Here is a 16,435-nt window from a genome sequence, read left to right on the forward strand (position 1 = left end):
GTCCCCAGAGATGAATTTGACTGTGAACCCTATATGATGTCTCACCAATCTCTTCCTATTGCACCTGCTATTGGCATTCTTCTCCCCAGACTGCATAGTATCCCTCACTGGAAACATTCAGGGCTCCTCATCTAAAAGAAGACCCACTATGCCACCCGCCTTTTTCCAAACTGGGACCAAAGTGTCTCCCTGAAAATTCACAGGTGCTAGTAATATGGTCATTGAAAGCTGTTTTCTATGAAAGTTTAGAGACATGCTAAACAGCATTCATTTTGAAGGCAAGGACTCAATAGATGAAAATTCCCATCTGGGTACCAAAAGCTCTGCTTTTAAGGTACCCAATCATGAGTATTCTGAAGCTCATTACCATCCATGAAGGAAGAGGGTATGGAAAATAACTAAGTTCTAAATGTCTATTCTTCCCATTGTCACTCTAGCATTGCAAACACCCTCTCATTGGCTGCCTATCTCCTCCACCCACACCCATATTTTAGGTCAAAGAGTCCCTTCTGTGAATCAGAGCAATGTATTTCTCATCTTTTCTCTTTTTCATGCCAATCTTGAGCAAGTCACAGAGCTGACTTTGTGAAACCAGCTGGCAATTGTTCGCCATGAAAACCAATCATACACTAACGCTGAGTGCCTCAATCGCAGTGAACGTGGCAGGGCACCCTCGTAATCAGGCCCTGCATCAATACGCCTGGTGCCTGTGGGCAGCTCTTGTTCTGTGTGGGAAGGCAGGGGCCTCTTCCATCTGCTAGGAGCTAAAGTAATGACTGTGTGCACTGACACAGCCTCGGCTGCCTCTGTGTCCATATGCTGTGTATTCATGGCACGTTAATGAAGAAATCTTCTGTCTTGCCTGGACTAATGGGGGCTGGTGAGAGGCGTGGAACACAAGGGAAGCTGGGGAAGGTGTTCTATCCAGGAGGTACTGGCTGACCAGAGAAGAGAGCATTAGGGGGTGATGCCAGAGTCCCTACACTTGAGCCCATTTCGCTACCAGAGCAGCTGTGCAATCTTGGGTGAGTGAATTGAGCTGATCCTCCAGTCCACAACTACAAATGCAGCTTTCAATAGTCACTTCCTCTCAAGGAATTTATAAACATGAAAGGGATCACACGTGTGTGGGATGGTTTGGGAAAGCAGTTGTAATTAGAAGTGTGATGCAAACATAATGTCAATAACGGCTGGCTTACCGTTTGCCGACCAGGTACATTTGGGAGCCATTTTAACTGCTGTATGGCAGGTAAACTGCTTCTTTACTTGGAGGAACAAAGCTATACTTGCTCAACATACAGCAATCTTTCTAGAGCATGAGGCCTGGATGTGATAGAACTTCCTAGAAAGTTCCATCTGTTTCCTTTGTCACATACTGAAGTCTATGCTTGTAAGAAGAGCAAGTACAGGAACCTAAATTCCACACTGCAGTATGGGTGCTACACTGGGCAGTTAAGTGCTGTATTAAGCTGCCAAAATGTTCATCAGTAGCCTTGGCTGTTTCCTTTTGATTCCGTTTTCTAAGCACCTAATTCAGTCCTCATGCCCATTGCGCTGTCTCTGTTACAGCAATTTCCACAAAACCTTGAAATCATTTTTTGCTGGTCTCTCTTTTCCCGTAGACTTTCCAGGCCTTTCAGGTAGAATGAGCTGTTGATTGCCAGCGGGTCAGAACCCTGTGAGTGACAACTGCAACCGTTTACCCTTGCTGCATAACAAACTACCACAAATCAAGTAGCTCAAAACAACATGCATTTAATAGTTCCCATTTCTGTTGGTCAGAGGTTGGGCAGATGGCTGGATTTTCTGCTTGGGGTCTTGCAAGGTGTCAGCCGGCCTGTCTGGGAGGAATCTGCCTCCAGGGTCATTGAGTTCTCAGCTGAATTCAGCCTTGCAGCTCCAGGACTGAGCTGTTTTCCAGCTGATCCCAGTGACCACTCTTGGCTTCTAGAGACCACGCCCAGCTTCCTGCCATGTGGGCCATCCATCTCCAGTGGAGAACCCCACCCCTGCTGAATTCACTTCAAGCTACAACCTGACCTTCCTGGCTGTGACCTGCAGACAGATTGAAAGGGTTCCTGTGGCCAGGTCAGGCCTGCTGGGTAATCTCCCCATCTTACAACCAACTCACCTGAGACCTTCATTACTTCTGCGGAATTCCTTCATGGCCCAACCTCAATTCATGTTTCATTAAGTGACTGAGGGAAGATGAGCAGGACTCTTGGTGCCAACTTAGAATTCCATCAGCCACAGCACACAAAGTCACTTCAAGAAGTATTTGTAAAGTGAAGAAAAGGCATCAAGTCACATTTTTCCCTATGAGAAACTTAGACTGTAAGGCATGTCTTTGCAGTAGCCCAGGATTTCCAAATGCACCCCAGGCTAAGGCTGCCTCCACTGAAATCACAGTTCCCCTTTCAAATGCAGATTCCTAGACCCAGGGGATTCTAGTGGCAAGCAGGCTATCTGCCTTCTAGCAGGCTACTCCTTGGGGGCGTGTTTCCCTCTACAGCTCATCTGGAAATGACTGGAAGCAGCCTTTGCACCTGGAGACCTTGCTAGATGGGCAATGAAAGGCAGTATTTAGAAAGGAGGCTCCCAGGAGGGATCCTCAAGCCCCCAGCAGGCAGCCTGGGCCTGGGGCTACCACAGATTAAGGATGCCGCCCAAGGAAACAAAGGATCCAGGGAGAGAAATGCAGAAATTAGTAATCATCCAGAAGAGGAGTAACAACAGTTGATACTTACATAATACCTTGCTAATAAGCATGAGCAACTACTCGTAGAAAGGCAGCATGTTCCATCTGTATCATAGCATTGTGAGTTAACTGAAGGGGGTCCTAGAGTTACCAGTGGACACAGCATTTAGCCAGTCAGCAAACATTGCTGAGCCAGGTTTGGAGAGATGCTCCTGCCCTCCACAGCTCACGACTCCCCACAGAGACAGGCGGGTATACAAATGACAGAGGCTAAGGGTCCATATGTACTGTCACCAAACCAAACTCAGGTCCTCTTGCCCTGTGCAGCAAAACCAAACACTGACATCAGGACTGCAGCAACAGAAACCCAGGCATTTATGGCAGAACACCACGCAAGGAGAATCAGGCAGCTCAGGCTTGAGACCAAAGCTGCCCTTGCAGTTAAGTGTTTTTAAAGGAGGGGAGGCAGAGGTCACAGGCCAAGTCATCAATCAATGACCAAAAAAGGCAGAACATCTCCAAGTGGGGGTCCACAGGTTGTAGGTAGAGTTAAAGATTTTCTGATTTGCGATAGGTTAAGGAAGGAACATTTGTCTAGACTGGGGGTCAGCAGAAAAGAGTGTTAGCTCTGGCCTGTGGGCATGACCTCCAGGCTCCTCAAGAAGAAACTGAGAGCAAGGAAAGGCAGGCAGACCTCACTCCTCAGTCCCCCTTATATGGGGTCCACGTACCAGCAGGTCCATTTGTTGGGGGGTGTGGTTTTCTGAAAAACAACTCAGGGTCATATGTTAACATGGTATCCCCTGTGACTTTAACTTCCTTGGCTATTGTTTTAAGCTACTGTTGCCTTCTTGCTTATCAAGTTGCTCATTTACTTGTCAGAGCTAGCTGGGTGTCTGGAATTTCCCTTGAAGGCACTCAAGATTTTCCTTTATTTCCGCACTTAGGAGCTGGGGGATGGCCCCCCCTAAGAGGGGTCCCTGCTGTGTCTCGGCACTGACGGCAATGTGTACAAAGCAACAAGTGGTTCTGCTGCATCCAAAGGAAACCTGGAAAAGTGTAAAGGCCAGGTTACATTTGAGCCCAGGTTTTCCATTTCTTTAGCCATGTTGGCCACATCTTCACTGGGTGGCCAGTGTTTCAACAGCCAAAGTGGACATCACCGCCCACATCTGAGACCCCTGCCCCCAGGGGGGCTGGTCCGTACTCAGCTACCTAATAGGACCGGAGGCTGGGCTTCCTGGGGCTGAGGTCCTGTTAGGTAGGTCATTACTAATAATTCTTGCCCACTCAAAGGACTTAATATACACCTAGTGAGCTGAAATATTACTGACACAAACTCATATCTTACTCTGATTGCTAGTGGCCCCCTTCCCTCTTCCTACCCACTCCCAAGAATGTAGCCAGACTGGGTGTTCCTCATCTGGGCTGGGTGTGAAAGGGGGAGGATTTCTTCTCCTGAGCTGAAGCAGCAGTTTCCAGGCACCCAAAAGACAACCACCCCTTCTTTTTGTTTTCTAGAAGACCACTGCAGTGTAGACCAGACAGGAGGGAAGTTTAGAGCTCCCCAAGACTGGAAAGATGGCTGTAGCATGTGGGGCTCAGATTGGGCACCTGCTCTTCAGGGCTGCCTCCAGCACTGACAAAGTGGACAGTAGAGCTATCAAGGACCCCGGCATAGACTTTAACTACATGGTCTGCATGCTCTAGTGCAGTCCTACCCAAGGCAAGTTCAAGAGCTCCTTCAAGCGGAGGGCAGGAAGCCTGTGATTAAGGACCTGTCTCCATCCTCTATGAGCAGCCCCCCTCCCAACTCCCCATCCCCCGCCTGCGGCATGCAACGGTAATGAGCAGCGGAGACTACTAGAGCTGTCAGTGCCTTAGAGAAGCTGGGCTCCCTTGAATGGTGGAGCCGCAGGGTCAGCGTGTTTGCCACTTCTGTGAAGTCTGTGTTTGTCGTGGGAGTCAGGAATGAGAGCAGAGCTGCCACCAGACTCAGCAACACCTCCTGCACCATGAGCCACTTGTCCTCCCTGCCCTCGAGCAACTTTAGCAATGTTGGCATCATGGAGAGGCTCGGGACGACAGTCTACACCATCCTGCCCTCCAGAAGACTTTGTGGCTAACTGTGGCAAGGTGGACATGGAGCTGCTCAAATGCCAAGGCAGCAGGCAAGGCCCTCCCTGAACTGAGTGGGATGCTCACTGGCACAGCTTTCTGTGCCCCCACTGAGCTGACCTGCCTGTCTGGAGAAATATACCAAACACAGTGACACCAAGAAGGTGGCCCAGTGGGTGTCAGAGACCCCTACTAAGACTCTTGCTTCCCTAAGAACAGGTTGTTTTCTGGGACTTGAATGGTGGCACACACCCACTCCCCCAGCCTTGGTCTTGGGCTGGCACTGCTCTCAATGATCCCTTTATCCAGCCCATTCCCTCGCATGATAATGCATTTGGCCACAGCAGCCTCTTTGTGGACCTCACAGTTCTCATGGCCTCCAGGATGCAAGAGCCCTGGACCACCAGCCCCAGGAGTGGTATGAAAGGAAGAGAGAGGCCTTCAGCCACTGAGAGTCCTGGCCTCTAGCGGCTCCACTTCCCAACAATTGATGGTCTCCCATTCTGCACTAGGCTCTCTCATCAGGCCCCTGAGGCAGTGGTGGGGCTTCCAGAGCCCTGCCGTGCCCTGCACCATCAGTGCTGTCTGTGCTGACCTCTCTAGCCTGCGCAGCGGGAAAGCAGTGAAGCAGCATACTCCGATGTCGAGGAGGGAGTGGGCACGCACTTGAGAGTAACTGCGAGCTGCCCCTGGCGTCACATCACATTGTCAAGTTCATGTTTTCAGCTGCAGTGAAAAAGAAGGAACTTCTTGCAGGGAACTCAACTAAATTGTCTTTAAATGACTAAACCCTAGGGAGGACAACTGCTATTTGGTCATGCATTTTCCATGTGGATTTCCATACACTGTGACTCCCAAGAGGGGATTTTCTGCCACATGTATTGTTGGTCTTTTTATTTTGGGTTTTGCTCTATCTGGAAGGATTAACAAGAACAACATTAAGTCCCACACGAATCCCTTTGCCCCTGTAGCAAGAATGACCTTGAGGAGGCCAGCCCTTCCTAGCTCAGGAAGCGGCTTTGTGGGAGATGAGTCTCAATTGCCAGGACCCCCCAGGGCCAGGTGTCCTCCACTCAGGCAGGCTGCCTCTCCTCCTTGTCCCAGCAGCCCTCACATTCACTTCCTGTCTTTCCATCCAAGCTGCTGCCCTTGACTTCAGCCCTCCTCTCACCTCTTACCCCAAACCTCTCATCTCCACTCTTCTCATTCAAGTCAAATATTACCTAATTAACATCACTCTCTTCTCCAGATAATTGGCTCCTTCTTGCCTGGAAGGTACAGTTTAGGGGACAACTTACCTTGGACCTGTGTGAACACACTCCTTCCCCATTGACCTCAACCTGTGTCTGACACAGCAAAGGTTACACCACTGACCTCTCCACAGGGCTCCTTCCTTTCCTGCAAGGTGAACTCAACAGGAACTTCAGATCTGGAAGTTGCTCCCTAAATAGTGGGCCACCTCCACCTGCCATGAGGTGGGAGACTACAGGCTGGCTTCTGTGGTGAAGCTGGAAGGCGTCATGCACCCTGCACCTGGTAGCAGAGCCCCTCGGGCTGCCTGTTTGCCCTGAGCCCCCTGCCTTCACAGGCACACACTCCGATGCTGATCGCTGTTGCAACGGGGAAAATGAGTTGTTTTCCACCTGGGTGGGTCTGAAGGGAGGAAAGGAGTTGTCCTTGTCTCCAAATTCTCCTGTCACTCATGCTGCTTCAGAAGCCCATTAGGGTCACCATACCTGGAGCAGTGGATTGCAAGGGGCTTGGACTGAAGGCAAGGCCTGCTGCTCACTGCTTACAGAGTCCAGTTAACAAGAGAGAGGTCAGATAGAGAGAAAGTGACCATTCCAGAGCTTGGCTAAGGGGAAGAGGATACAGGCTTCTGCCTTAAGGGAACAGCTTCACCTGTAGAAGCAGAAAGCAGGGGCTTTAAAGGGGAACTTGGCATGAACGGCATGCAGGGGACTGGGGAGGAGATGCGGGGTCTGCATGACTTATTTCAATGTCTTATCCATCGGGTGGTCTGGCTGGTGCTGTCGTGGGCAGAGCTAGATTGTAAGTTGACGATTGTCTCGAGGCAATCTCCTGGTGGGGTGAAACCCAGAGGGTTCCTGGTTTGGTTCAACATTTGGTCCTCTGAATTTCCAAGCAAACATACAGAGAGATAAGCTTGCAGTGCAGGGAGTGCCTGGTGGAGAGAAGGGAACGGTTATAGGTGCATTCCTAAAGAGCTAAGTAAGAAGTGAACACACAGGGAAAAAGAGAAAAGGTAAAGATGACTTTTAGGAAAATGGGGTACTCGGTTACAGTCTGAGGCCTTAGGCTGTGGCATCAGGTCCGATGAGCCGCAAGCTTTAGCAAACATGGAAGAAGTGGGCTCAAAGCAGAGTCAAAGCCTGGGGACAGGGTGACTGCTAGAACTGCTCCGCCTCAAGATGGGGGTAGAGATAAGGCTGTGGGCTGGAGACTGCACCTCAGCTCATAGGGCGGGTGTGGGGGTGCGCAGAGGGTAATAAAACAAAAGTAAAAGCCAGAGGTGTCTCCAGAGCAAGAGGCCACTCCTGGGACAGCTGGCACCCAGAACATGCCTCCAGCCTGTGGCCTCTGACAGTCCTGTGGGGCCGAGGGGCAGTTCCTGTCAGCGACCACTCACAGTCAGCAAGGGAGTCTTCCCCCAGCTTATTCATTTTCATTTTTCTTTGTGCTAATTTAAAACATAACCGCCCCAGGTAAGGGCTGCACATGAAGCCAATCACAATTCAGTGTGGACTGGCAGGTGGGACCCCGAGCACCCGGAAAAGCGGGTGGGGACTGGTTCATCTCCCAGCTGCAAATGCAACTTCAAAAGGGAAAACACATCACTTCACAAGGAAAAAAACCTCACCTACATCACATTTTTTCACACATTTGAAGTTCTGCAACTTCTATGTTATTTTTTATTGTGATGAAATACACATAACATAAACGTTACAATTCTAGTCACTTTTAAGTGCACGGCTGAGTGACATTAAGTACATTCACATTAGTGTTCAACCATCACCAATGTCCATCTCAAGAACATTTTCATATTCCCAAACTGAAGCTTCATACCCATTAAACAGTCACTTCCTATCTCCATGCTCCCCCCAGCTCCTGCACTCACCCTTCTACTTTCTCTCCATGAATTTGAAAACTCCAGGGACCTCACCTAAGTGGAACCACACAGTATTTGACCTTTTTTGTCTCGCTTACTTCACTTAGTATAATGTCTTCCAGGTTCACCATGCGTCATAGCACATCAGTACTTTATTCCTTTGTAAGGCGGAATATATTCTATTTGATGTATTCACCACATTTTGCATATCTGTTCAGCTGCTGATGGGCAATTGGTTTGCGTCTACCTTTTGCTACTATGAATAATGCTGCTGTGATTATGGGTGTGCAAATATCTGTTAAAGTCTCAGATTCCAGTTATTTGGGGTAGATACCCCGGAGTGGAATTGCTGGATCATATGGTGATTCTATTTTTAATTTTTTGAAGGATGGTCATACCATTTACCACAGCGGTTTGACGTTCCCTCCAGCACTGCACAAGGGTTCCAGTTTCAACTTCACATCCTCAATCACATGTGTGATTTTCTGTTTTGTTTTGTTTGTAATAGCCATCCTAGTGACTGTGAATTGGTATCTCATTGTGGTTTTGGTTTGCATTTTCCTGATTATTAATGATGTTGAACACACAAACGTATTGGCCATTTGGTTATCATCAATGAAGAAACGTCTACATTTGCCATATTTAAATCAGGCTGTTCATTGCTGTTGAGTCATAGGAGCCCTTTATATATTTTAAATATACATATATAAAATACATATATTTATATATATTATATATATATATATAAGCCATATCCCTAAATATATATATATATTTAGACAGAGTCTCGCTCTGTTGCCCAGGCTGGAGAGCAGTGGCGCAATCTCAGCTGACTGCAACCTCCACCTCCAGGGTTCAAGAAATTCTCCTGCCTCAGCCTCCTGAGTAGCTGGCATTACAGGCACACACCACCATGCCGGGTTAATTTTTTTATTTTTAGTAGAGATGGGATTTCACCATGTTGGCTAGGCTGGTCTCAAGTGCTTGACCTCAGGTGATCCACCTGCCTCAGCCTCCCAAAGTGCTGGGATTACAGGCATGAACCACCGCGCCAGGCCTATTTTAAATATTAACCCTTTATCAGATATATAATTTGCAAATATTGTCTCCCATTTCATGGCTTGGCTGCCTTGTCACTTTGTCAATAGTGTCCTTTGATGCACAAAAGTATTTAATTCTGGTGAAGTTTCATTTCCCTGGTTTTTCTTTTGTTACCTGCACTTTCAGTGTCCTATTCCCTGTGCTTTTGAGACCTTTGAAACCTAGTACATTTCCATACCTGCTACCGGGCTTAGGAAAGCCCTACCCACTCGCTGTTTCTGCAGCACACACACTTGGGCCTTTGGAATTCCATAATCACCTTGTTTAGTGAACATGTTAGCATTTCCTAGTCATCTGGTATTCCTCTTATTACCCATCTTACTTGCCTTTCCACTGGTGGGGTGTGTCTGATAGGAAGTAGTAAGCTTTCATCTTTCTATGACATTTCCTGGGAGATACCCCAGATCTCAGTATGTTTTTAATTGGATAAATCAGACCTTTTATTTATTTTCATTGTGGTTTGTGATGCTTTTAATGGGAATTAACTAGACAGAAATGTCAGTTACACTGTTATGAGGCTGATATTCCTCAGAGGAAGGTGGGTGGCAGTCCAGCTCATCAGCTGCTGAAAAATGTCCCCCTTGAGCTCCTGATGGTGTTCCAAGGCCATGTAGCTTCTGCTGAAGCAAAAGTAATGAGATCCTTGGCAGAATGCACTTGAACATGCTGTAGAGAGCTTTCTGTATGCATTAAGCACTGCCAACAACATGCATGTCCAACACAAAGGGGCACGGTGGACGTAGCGCATGGCAGGTCCCAGTCTCTGAGTGGAAAGGGCCCAAGTGCAGATGGTAACCCACTCAGCACCAGGGCCACTGCTCTGGCTGCTGAGGGCTGGTCCTGCAGCCTTGCTGGGCACTGGCAGGGCTTCCCCAGGAGCTCTGGGCTCTTCCTGACAGACACCAGCAGTGCCGTTTCCGCCAGAGGCTCCTAGGACTTATCTGCACCCCGAATACTCGCATGTGTGAATGCCTAGTCCTGCTCTCCTTACTGCCCCCGTTTGGCGCTGAACCCTCCAGGTCGTGCCCCCTCCCCACGGTGCACAGCCAGACATCCTTCTTGTGTCCACTGTCCTCTTCACAGGGCCTCTCCTTTTTGTGTCCCTTTCAAAAGAGCAGCCAGGCTTCTCCTGGTCAATTTCTTCTTCTCAATTTGGTGCTGACCCCTGGCTTCTCAAGAGGATTTTTATTTTTGAAGCTTATAGTAAAAATCAGCAATGCATTCTGGTTCCTCCATGCCCAGAATTTGTGCTTGTGCCTAAATATGAGACTCTTGACTCATGTCAGTAAAAATGATGGCCTGGGTAGACCCATGGCAGAGCCTGCAGCCTGGTGCCAAAGAGCGCCTTCCTGCCAGCTCAGCCATTCACCACTGCTGCTGCCTGCACACACAGACACACACACTCACAAAACACACACACACACACACACTCCCACATGCACAGACAGGCACTCACATGCTTGCATGCACTTACATGCATACACTCACACATACACACACACAATGCTTGCATGCACTCACACATACACTCACACACTCACATACTTGCATGCACTCACATGCATACATTCACATATACACACTCACTCCCTCACTCACACACACTCCTGCCCCTCCCGACCGGCACCAGGCACTGCTCTGCAGGCACTCCCTTGGACCCCTCACTCATGTGCTCATTCCCAACTTCCTCTGCTACCTCCCGTTTATCTGCTGATCCAGATCCTCTCCGCCAAGCCTCACTCCCGATTTATCTTGAAAAGAGTCCAGTGCCTAACCCACTTTCCAAGGGCAGTCGAGGTGGGAATCATTGCTTTTATATAGGGCATGGCTCTGGCAACACTCGGGAGATGCCCTCGTTTCATTTCAGAGAGAGGCTGTTCCCTGCTCACTCCCTCCACTTGTCCTCCAGCCATACCCCTGTACAGAACTCCCTTTAGTCCAGGCCCCCAGGCCCCCAGTGACCTCTTCCAAGCCCTCAGGGCGGCTCCGTCACTAGGGAGATATGACCTTGAGGTGTGGGGCAGCTGGTGGGGCTGGGCGAGGCCGGGGCTGGCTGTATCCCTGTAGTGCAGGGCCTCCTCTCTGCCTTAAGGTGTTCAGGTGTCCTACATGTCTGGCCCCTGGTTGTTAGGACGGCACCCCCTCCATATCCTGCTCTATGGCCATTGGCTTTCCGTCTCCTTTGAGGATCTCTACTTCACTGTCTCCCAAGGAACATGTGGCTGTGTTGCAGCACCTGGCCAGGCCGTTTTCTGTTCTCTCTTTACTCCTAAACCAAGCAATGTCATCAAGCTGTACATCTGTCAATGGGTCCAAATGCCAAAGACTCCCAGATCTCCCAGATCCCAATCTCTGGCTCCAACCCCTGCCTCATTCTTCTGCCATGGAACAGCCACTGGAACTCCTGCTCCACCTCCATTGATCTCTGCCCGCCATGCCACAGTTCCCTCTGCCCCAGGGCTGATGGCCAGAGCCACAGGTGGCACCGGGCAGCTTCTGCCACACACCGTGGAGCCACTCTTGGTGGCCCCCTTTCCCTCCAGCCCTCCTTCACCCACCAGAAAGTTCTCCTGGCTCTGCCTCTGACCCGTGCCAGATATGTCCTGTTCTCCCCACCCTCAGTCCATTACCATCACCTCACTCTTGGACTGTGTAGTCATCTCTGGACCGCTTGCCTAGGTCCTGCCCTGCTCCCTGCAGGCCATTCTCTCAGCAGCAGCCCAGCCCAGGGTGGTATTGTTGGATAGGTCAGATCAGCCTGCCCTGCCTGTTGAGGGCCTTCCCTGAGCCCACACCCCAGCCAAGGCTCCCTGTGTGCTCACAGGAGCATTCAAACGCTGACCACGGCCTGCAAAGCTCAGCATCAGCCGCCAGCACTCACTCTCCAGCTTGGTTTGAGGCCACTCTCTTCTAGTCCCAATGCGGTCTGGCTGCACTGACCTGCTTTCTGTTCTTCAAATAATCCCAGGCCACTCGGACTTAGGGTCTGAACTCCTGCCCTTCCTTCTACCTGGTGTGTTCTCTCCTGGATGCTCCCACAGCTACTCCTTCCCATCCTGGGGTTTCAGGTGGCAGGTCCCCCATGCAGTGGGACACTCCCCGACATCCCCAGGAACTGCACCTGCACATCTCCCTGACTTTATGGTCTCACAACACTTGGCGTCATCTTGGGATTCCTTTCTTTCTTCCCCCAGTGGAACATAAGTTCCTTGAGTACAGGGACCAGCCAGTCTTGTACATATTTTACTTCCAGTGCCAAGAAGTGCCTGCCATGGATAAGGCAGTCAAAAAACATTTGTTAAAAGTGAGTGATTACATAATTGAGTGACGAATGTCCACCTTCTCCATCTGTGGTTCTCAACCTTGGAGGCACATAAGATTCACAAATGAGCTTTACAAATACAAATGCCAAGGCCCACCACCACCCCACCCCCCACCCACAAAACCTTGAATTTCTGACTTAATTGTTCTGGGGAAGAGCCTGGGTATCAGGATTTGTTAAAACTACTAATGTGAATCAAATGTGCTTCCAAGGCTGGGAATCAACTGGAATGTAGGTTACAGCCTGGAGAAAAGTTGTCGTCGTCCGGATACTGTCCACTCCACTCCTTGAAAGGACCCCAGAAAAAGACCTACTGCAAAAAGAAAAACCTCCACCTTGATGGTATTAGTAGTTCTCAGAAGGGCAAAGTCAGGGGACCCTATGCATTGGTTTCAGGGCCTGAGCTCAGTGATTGTTAAGGCAAGTCTTGAAAAGTGAGGAATTGATTGGAACTGGCAGAGTCTGACAACAGAGTTTAGGATTAAAGGGCACAGCAAAGGGAGGGTCTTAAATGAGGTGTTGGTGAGAAGACTCTTGAGTTGAGCCTTACGTTCCAAGAAGAGGGACTCTGTGGAGCACTCTCCCAACTTCCTGCTCTGTTTGCTTCTTGGGAGGTTTGTTTCTGCTTGGTCCCAATACTGCTTAACACGTGAACAGGAAGTCCTGTTGGTTTCTGCTCTCAGTATTAATCAGAAGGAAAGCTTAGAAGCAAGTTTGAATCCATGCAAACAGAAGTATATTCAGAAAGAGTAAATGAAAATCCATATGGTCAAGAGGAAAGAAAAAATCAAGCACTATGCAGTTGCCTCCACAATCAATGGGGAAGCAGAGTCTGAAAGTTTTCAGGTTTCTCTAAATTAGCTACTAATTTTTATTTTAACATAAAACTATTGCATGATTAATAATATAACCCAATCTATTAAGCACAGTTTAATAAATCAACCTAATATTTTTGCAAGAAGTGAAACATATTAAGAATATGAATGTATTAGTGAAACAAATGATTTATTCTTAAAAAATGCAACATAACGATGCTATATCCAATTAGAAATTAAAATCAGGAACCTAATTAGAGACAATCATAAAAAATATATTGATTTTGTTAAACATGTAGAAGATGGTTGGCTAGGAAAGCACATAACAAGTTGTTTAGATGAGCGCTTCACCAAGATACAAAGAGAGGTGTACTTGAGGAGGGATCATCACCAGCCACCTGTGCTCCATCTACAAAGATCTGGCTGTGACAGCATGGCTCAGGAGCTGATCAGAAAATTTTTCGTAGACGCTCTCTCCACTCCAAGCCACAAAGACAACTAACTAACCACTTCATTGAATCTAGATGCCAAAGCAAGCCATCTTGATTTAAATCCTTAATTTCCCTATTCATGAGGTAATAAAATAGAATTTTATTTCTGGGAAAATGTTTTAAATCATGAAAATATTTAAACTGATCACAAAGCTAAGTGAAATATAATAAAACACAATGTCTGCAGGTATGTACCATTTTAACGTCTTTTTAGACCAAATTCTTCATAATAAGGTTCTTGTGGGGAGACCAGCGGCATGACCCCAGGACCCCACCCCAGTTGGCTGGGCTGGAGGCCCTGGGCTCGCCCCACAGGGTGGGGGCTGTGCCTGGTCCTGACCCTGGGCTCCAGACACAATTTCCTTTCTTTGACCCCCAGTCCCTCATTTTGCATTCCTTCACAGCAGTTTCTCCCTTTGCTTTGGATGTTCTTGGCTTCGTCTCTTCCCCACTGCTAGACTGCAAGCCCTTGCCAGGCAGAAGCTGTGCTTGAATCATCTTCTACTCTAGCATCTAAGACGACATGCTGAAGTTACCGAGTGTTTGCTGAGTGAACTGTGTCTCTTGACTGCCTGCTTATCTGAAGGCGAGCTGTTTCCCATAAACTCAGATCTCCCTTTTCCAGGACGGCTCAGGAGTGTCTGCTCATGAACAGCCCAGGCTCAGCCAGCCCTGGAAAAGTATGGTCTGCCTGCAGGTGAAGAAAGGAGAATATAATAGAAAAATGGCAGTTGTCCTCGGCCCATTGAAATTCAAAAGATTCCCCGGGGATTTATTTTCTAAATGGCTTCTTATTTCCCTAAGTGTTTTGTCCTTTTTCGTCTGATGTGTGGGCATCCAATAAGCAGGCACTGGTGCCATCAACTCCTGACGTTCCTTCCCTGGAAAAATCCTCTAATTATAAAGCATCACTTGCTGCATGAGCCAAAGGGAAGAGTAAATTATTTTATTTTTATTTTTATTTTTTTGTTTTTACCATTGACTCCAGAGACGAATGTCTTCTTGTCCCCTGGGGAGCCGAAGCCATCCGCGTTGACCTTTTGCAGAGGCGGGTGACAGATTCTTGTGCTCACCGCTCTGTGAACCCCACAGCCCATGAATTCGAGTGCCTGCCTCCCTTCTCCTCAGAAGCAGTCTGTGTGTCTTCCAGCTTCTACTGTCCTCTTTTCAGAATGTCAGGGACACTGTCTCCTACTGTTTGAGTCCCTCTGCCTGTTCCCATCCCCAGGGGAACAGGAGAAGGTCCTCTTAAATCCCTGATTGGGATACAATTCTCCTAACAACATTCCCAATTGCCTTTAGGGCTACATTGTACACAGAAAAAGCGCAGACAGCAGAGAGTGTTTAATGCATCGTGACAGTTAATGTATATTGAATGCAAATGTCACCTCCATACCAAGACATTCTATGCATGATGTCATGGAACCCCCCCACAGCTGATCCATGATGAAGAGATGCTGTTGATGACTCCATTTCAGTTTCAGACTAAGTGACCTGCCCAGGGATCATCTCTCTCTCTCTCTCTCTCTCTCTCTCTCTCTCTCTCACACACACACACACACACACACAGAGTCACACCCATGCACACTCTTGTTAATAAGTGTCAGAGCAGCCTTTTGGCCCCAAGCACTCTGACCCCTCAGCAGGATGTCCTGCTGTCTCAGAGCATCTTCCCTTTATGTGTCTTAGCTGTAGTCTCAGGAAGTTAGAACTGGCAGAGGCACTAGCTCAAGTGAGAAACCCCAGCACAGGGATGGGTGAACAACAAGCTCAGGCCACAGGGAGGAGATTATTCAGATAGCCTCTGAGACCTTGAGCAAGTCACAAGATCCAAGTGTCTTAGGCAGGTTCTCCCAGAATCAGACTTCCGATGAGAATCCACAGGCAAGTGACTGATGACGGGAGAGGCGCCAAGGGAGGTCAGGGAGGGAGCAGGAAAGGAGGGTGGGGAAGGGGAAAGTCAAGCCAGGCTCAATCTCAGGAACAATCTTGTAGGGAGATCTTCAGCCTGATCTTGAAGAGGCCTCTGGAGGGCAAGCAAGCCCTCCGAATTTGTCTTGCCTTGAAGCAAGGAAGCTGGACTTTCCCACTCCTGCCTGTCAGTCATGAGTTACTGACCACTAGGAAGGATATGCGCCCACAGGCCCTTGCAGCTCTCTGAACAATGAGGCTAAGCAGCTCCCGTGGCCCAAGCCCCATGAAGAAAGAGCATGGGCTGCAGTTAGAAGAAAAGCATGCAGAAACTGCAGAGTGGGCACACAGATCAGACACAGGCATCACAGGGCATCAGGGTGGAGACCACCAGGATCCAGGATACTCAGCCCCAGTCACTAGTACAATGCCCCACGTGGGGCCAGAGCTGTGTCTCTGTGACTGGAGCCCCATGACCTCATGAGAAGGTCTGGGGATCTGGGAGGTGAAATTGATTAAGGGGATTAGAAAGTAGGTTTTGAAAGAAAGTTGACACAATTAGAGTATTTCACCTCCAGAGAAGACTAAATAGTAAGCTAGTAACAGCCAGTAACCACACAGGTAAATAAAGACTTCTTACCAAAAAATCATGGCTGATTCAAAGACTGCAGGAGTAGAATAATTGACATACTGCACATACAGAAGGGTTCCTACTGCACAAAGGAAACCCCAGCCTGACAAGGAAGGGAAGCCCCAGAAGACTGTAAGGAAGGGTACATGGTCCACATGCCAGGCATCTGTCTTGCAGGATTACACAGGGTCCCCCCTGAAATAATTTGCTCTGAACAG

At 48.6% G+C, this 16,435-nt stretch overlaps 1 pseudogene, besides 5 other annotated features; it reads left to right on the forward strand.

The window, feature by feature from the left end:
* Positions 1,781-2,452: an enhancer, noted in NCBI's record as "OCT4-NANOG-H3K27ac-H3K4me1 hESC enhancer chr20:24423531-24424202 (GRCh37/hg19 assembly coordinates)". NCBI's record gives its function as "activates a minimal SCP1, AML or CMV promoter by ChIP-STARR-seq in naive H9 embryonic stem cells {active_cell/tissue: H9 hESC(naive)}" and the evidence as "EXISTENCE:reporter gene assay evidence [ECO:0000049][PMID:30033119]".
* Positions 2,453-3,124: an enhancer, noted in NCBI's record as "OCT4-NANOG-H3K27ac-H3K4me1 hESC enhancer chr20:24424203-24424874 (GRCh37/hg19 assembly coordinates)". NCBI's record gives its function as "activates a minimal SCP1, AML or CMV promoter by ChIP-STARR-seq in naive and primed H9 embryonic stem cells {active_cell/tissue: H9 hESC(naive and primed)}" and the evidence as "EXISTENCE:reporter gene assay evidence [ECO:0000049][PMID:30033119]".
* Positions 3,125-3,795: an enhancer, noted in NCBI's record as "NANOG-H3K27ac-H3K4me1 hESC enhancer chr20:24424875-24425545 (GRCh37/hg19 assembly coordinates)". NCBI's record gives its function as "activates a minimal SCP1, AML or CMV promoter by ChIP-STARR-seq in primed H9 embryonic stem cells {active_cell/tissue: H9 hESC(primed)}" and the evidence as "EXISTENCE:reporter gene assay evidence [ECO:0000049][PMID:30033119]".
* Positions 4,113-4,844: an enhancer, noted in NCBI's record as "H3K4me1 hESC enhancer chr20:24425863-24426594 (GRCh37/hg19 assembly coordinates)". NCBI's record gives its function as "activates a minimal SCP1, AML or CMV promoter by ChIP-STARR-seq in primed H9 embryonic stem cells {active_cell/tissue: H9 hESC(primed)}" and the evidence as "EXISTENCE:reporter gene assay evidence [ECO:0000049][PMID:30033119]".
* Positions 4,298-5,200, forward strand: GAPDHP53 (glyceraldehyde 3 phosphate dehydrogenase pseudogene 53; annotated as a pseudogene).
* Positions 11,170-11,670: an enhancer, noted in NCBI's record as "H3K4me1 hESC enhancer chr20:24432920-24433420 (GRCh37/hg19 assembly coordinates)". NCBI's record gives its function as "activates a minimal SCP1, AML or CMV promoter by ChIP-STARR-seq in primed H9 embryonic stem cells {active_cell/tissue: H9 hESC(primed)}" and the evidence as "EXISTENCE:reporter gene assay evidence [ECO:0000049][PMID:30033119]".

Source organism: Homo sapiens, chromosome 20 (genome assembly GCF_000001405.40).
Source record: "Homo sapiens chromosome 20, GRCh38.p14 Primary Assembly".
NCBI lineage: Eukaryota > Metazoa > Chordata > Mammalia > Primates > Hominidae > Homo > Homo sapiens.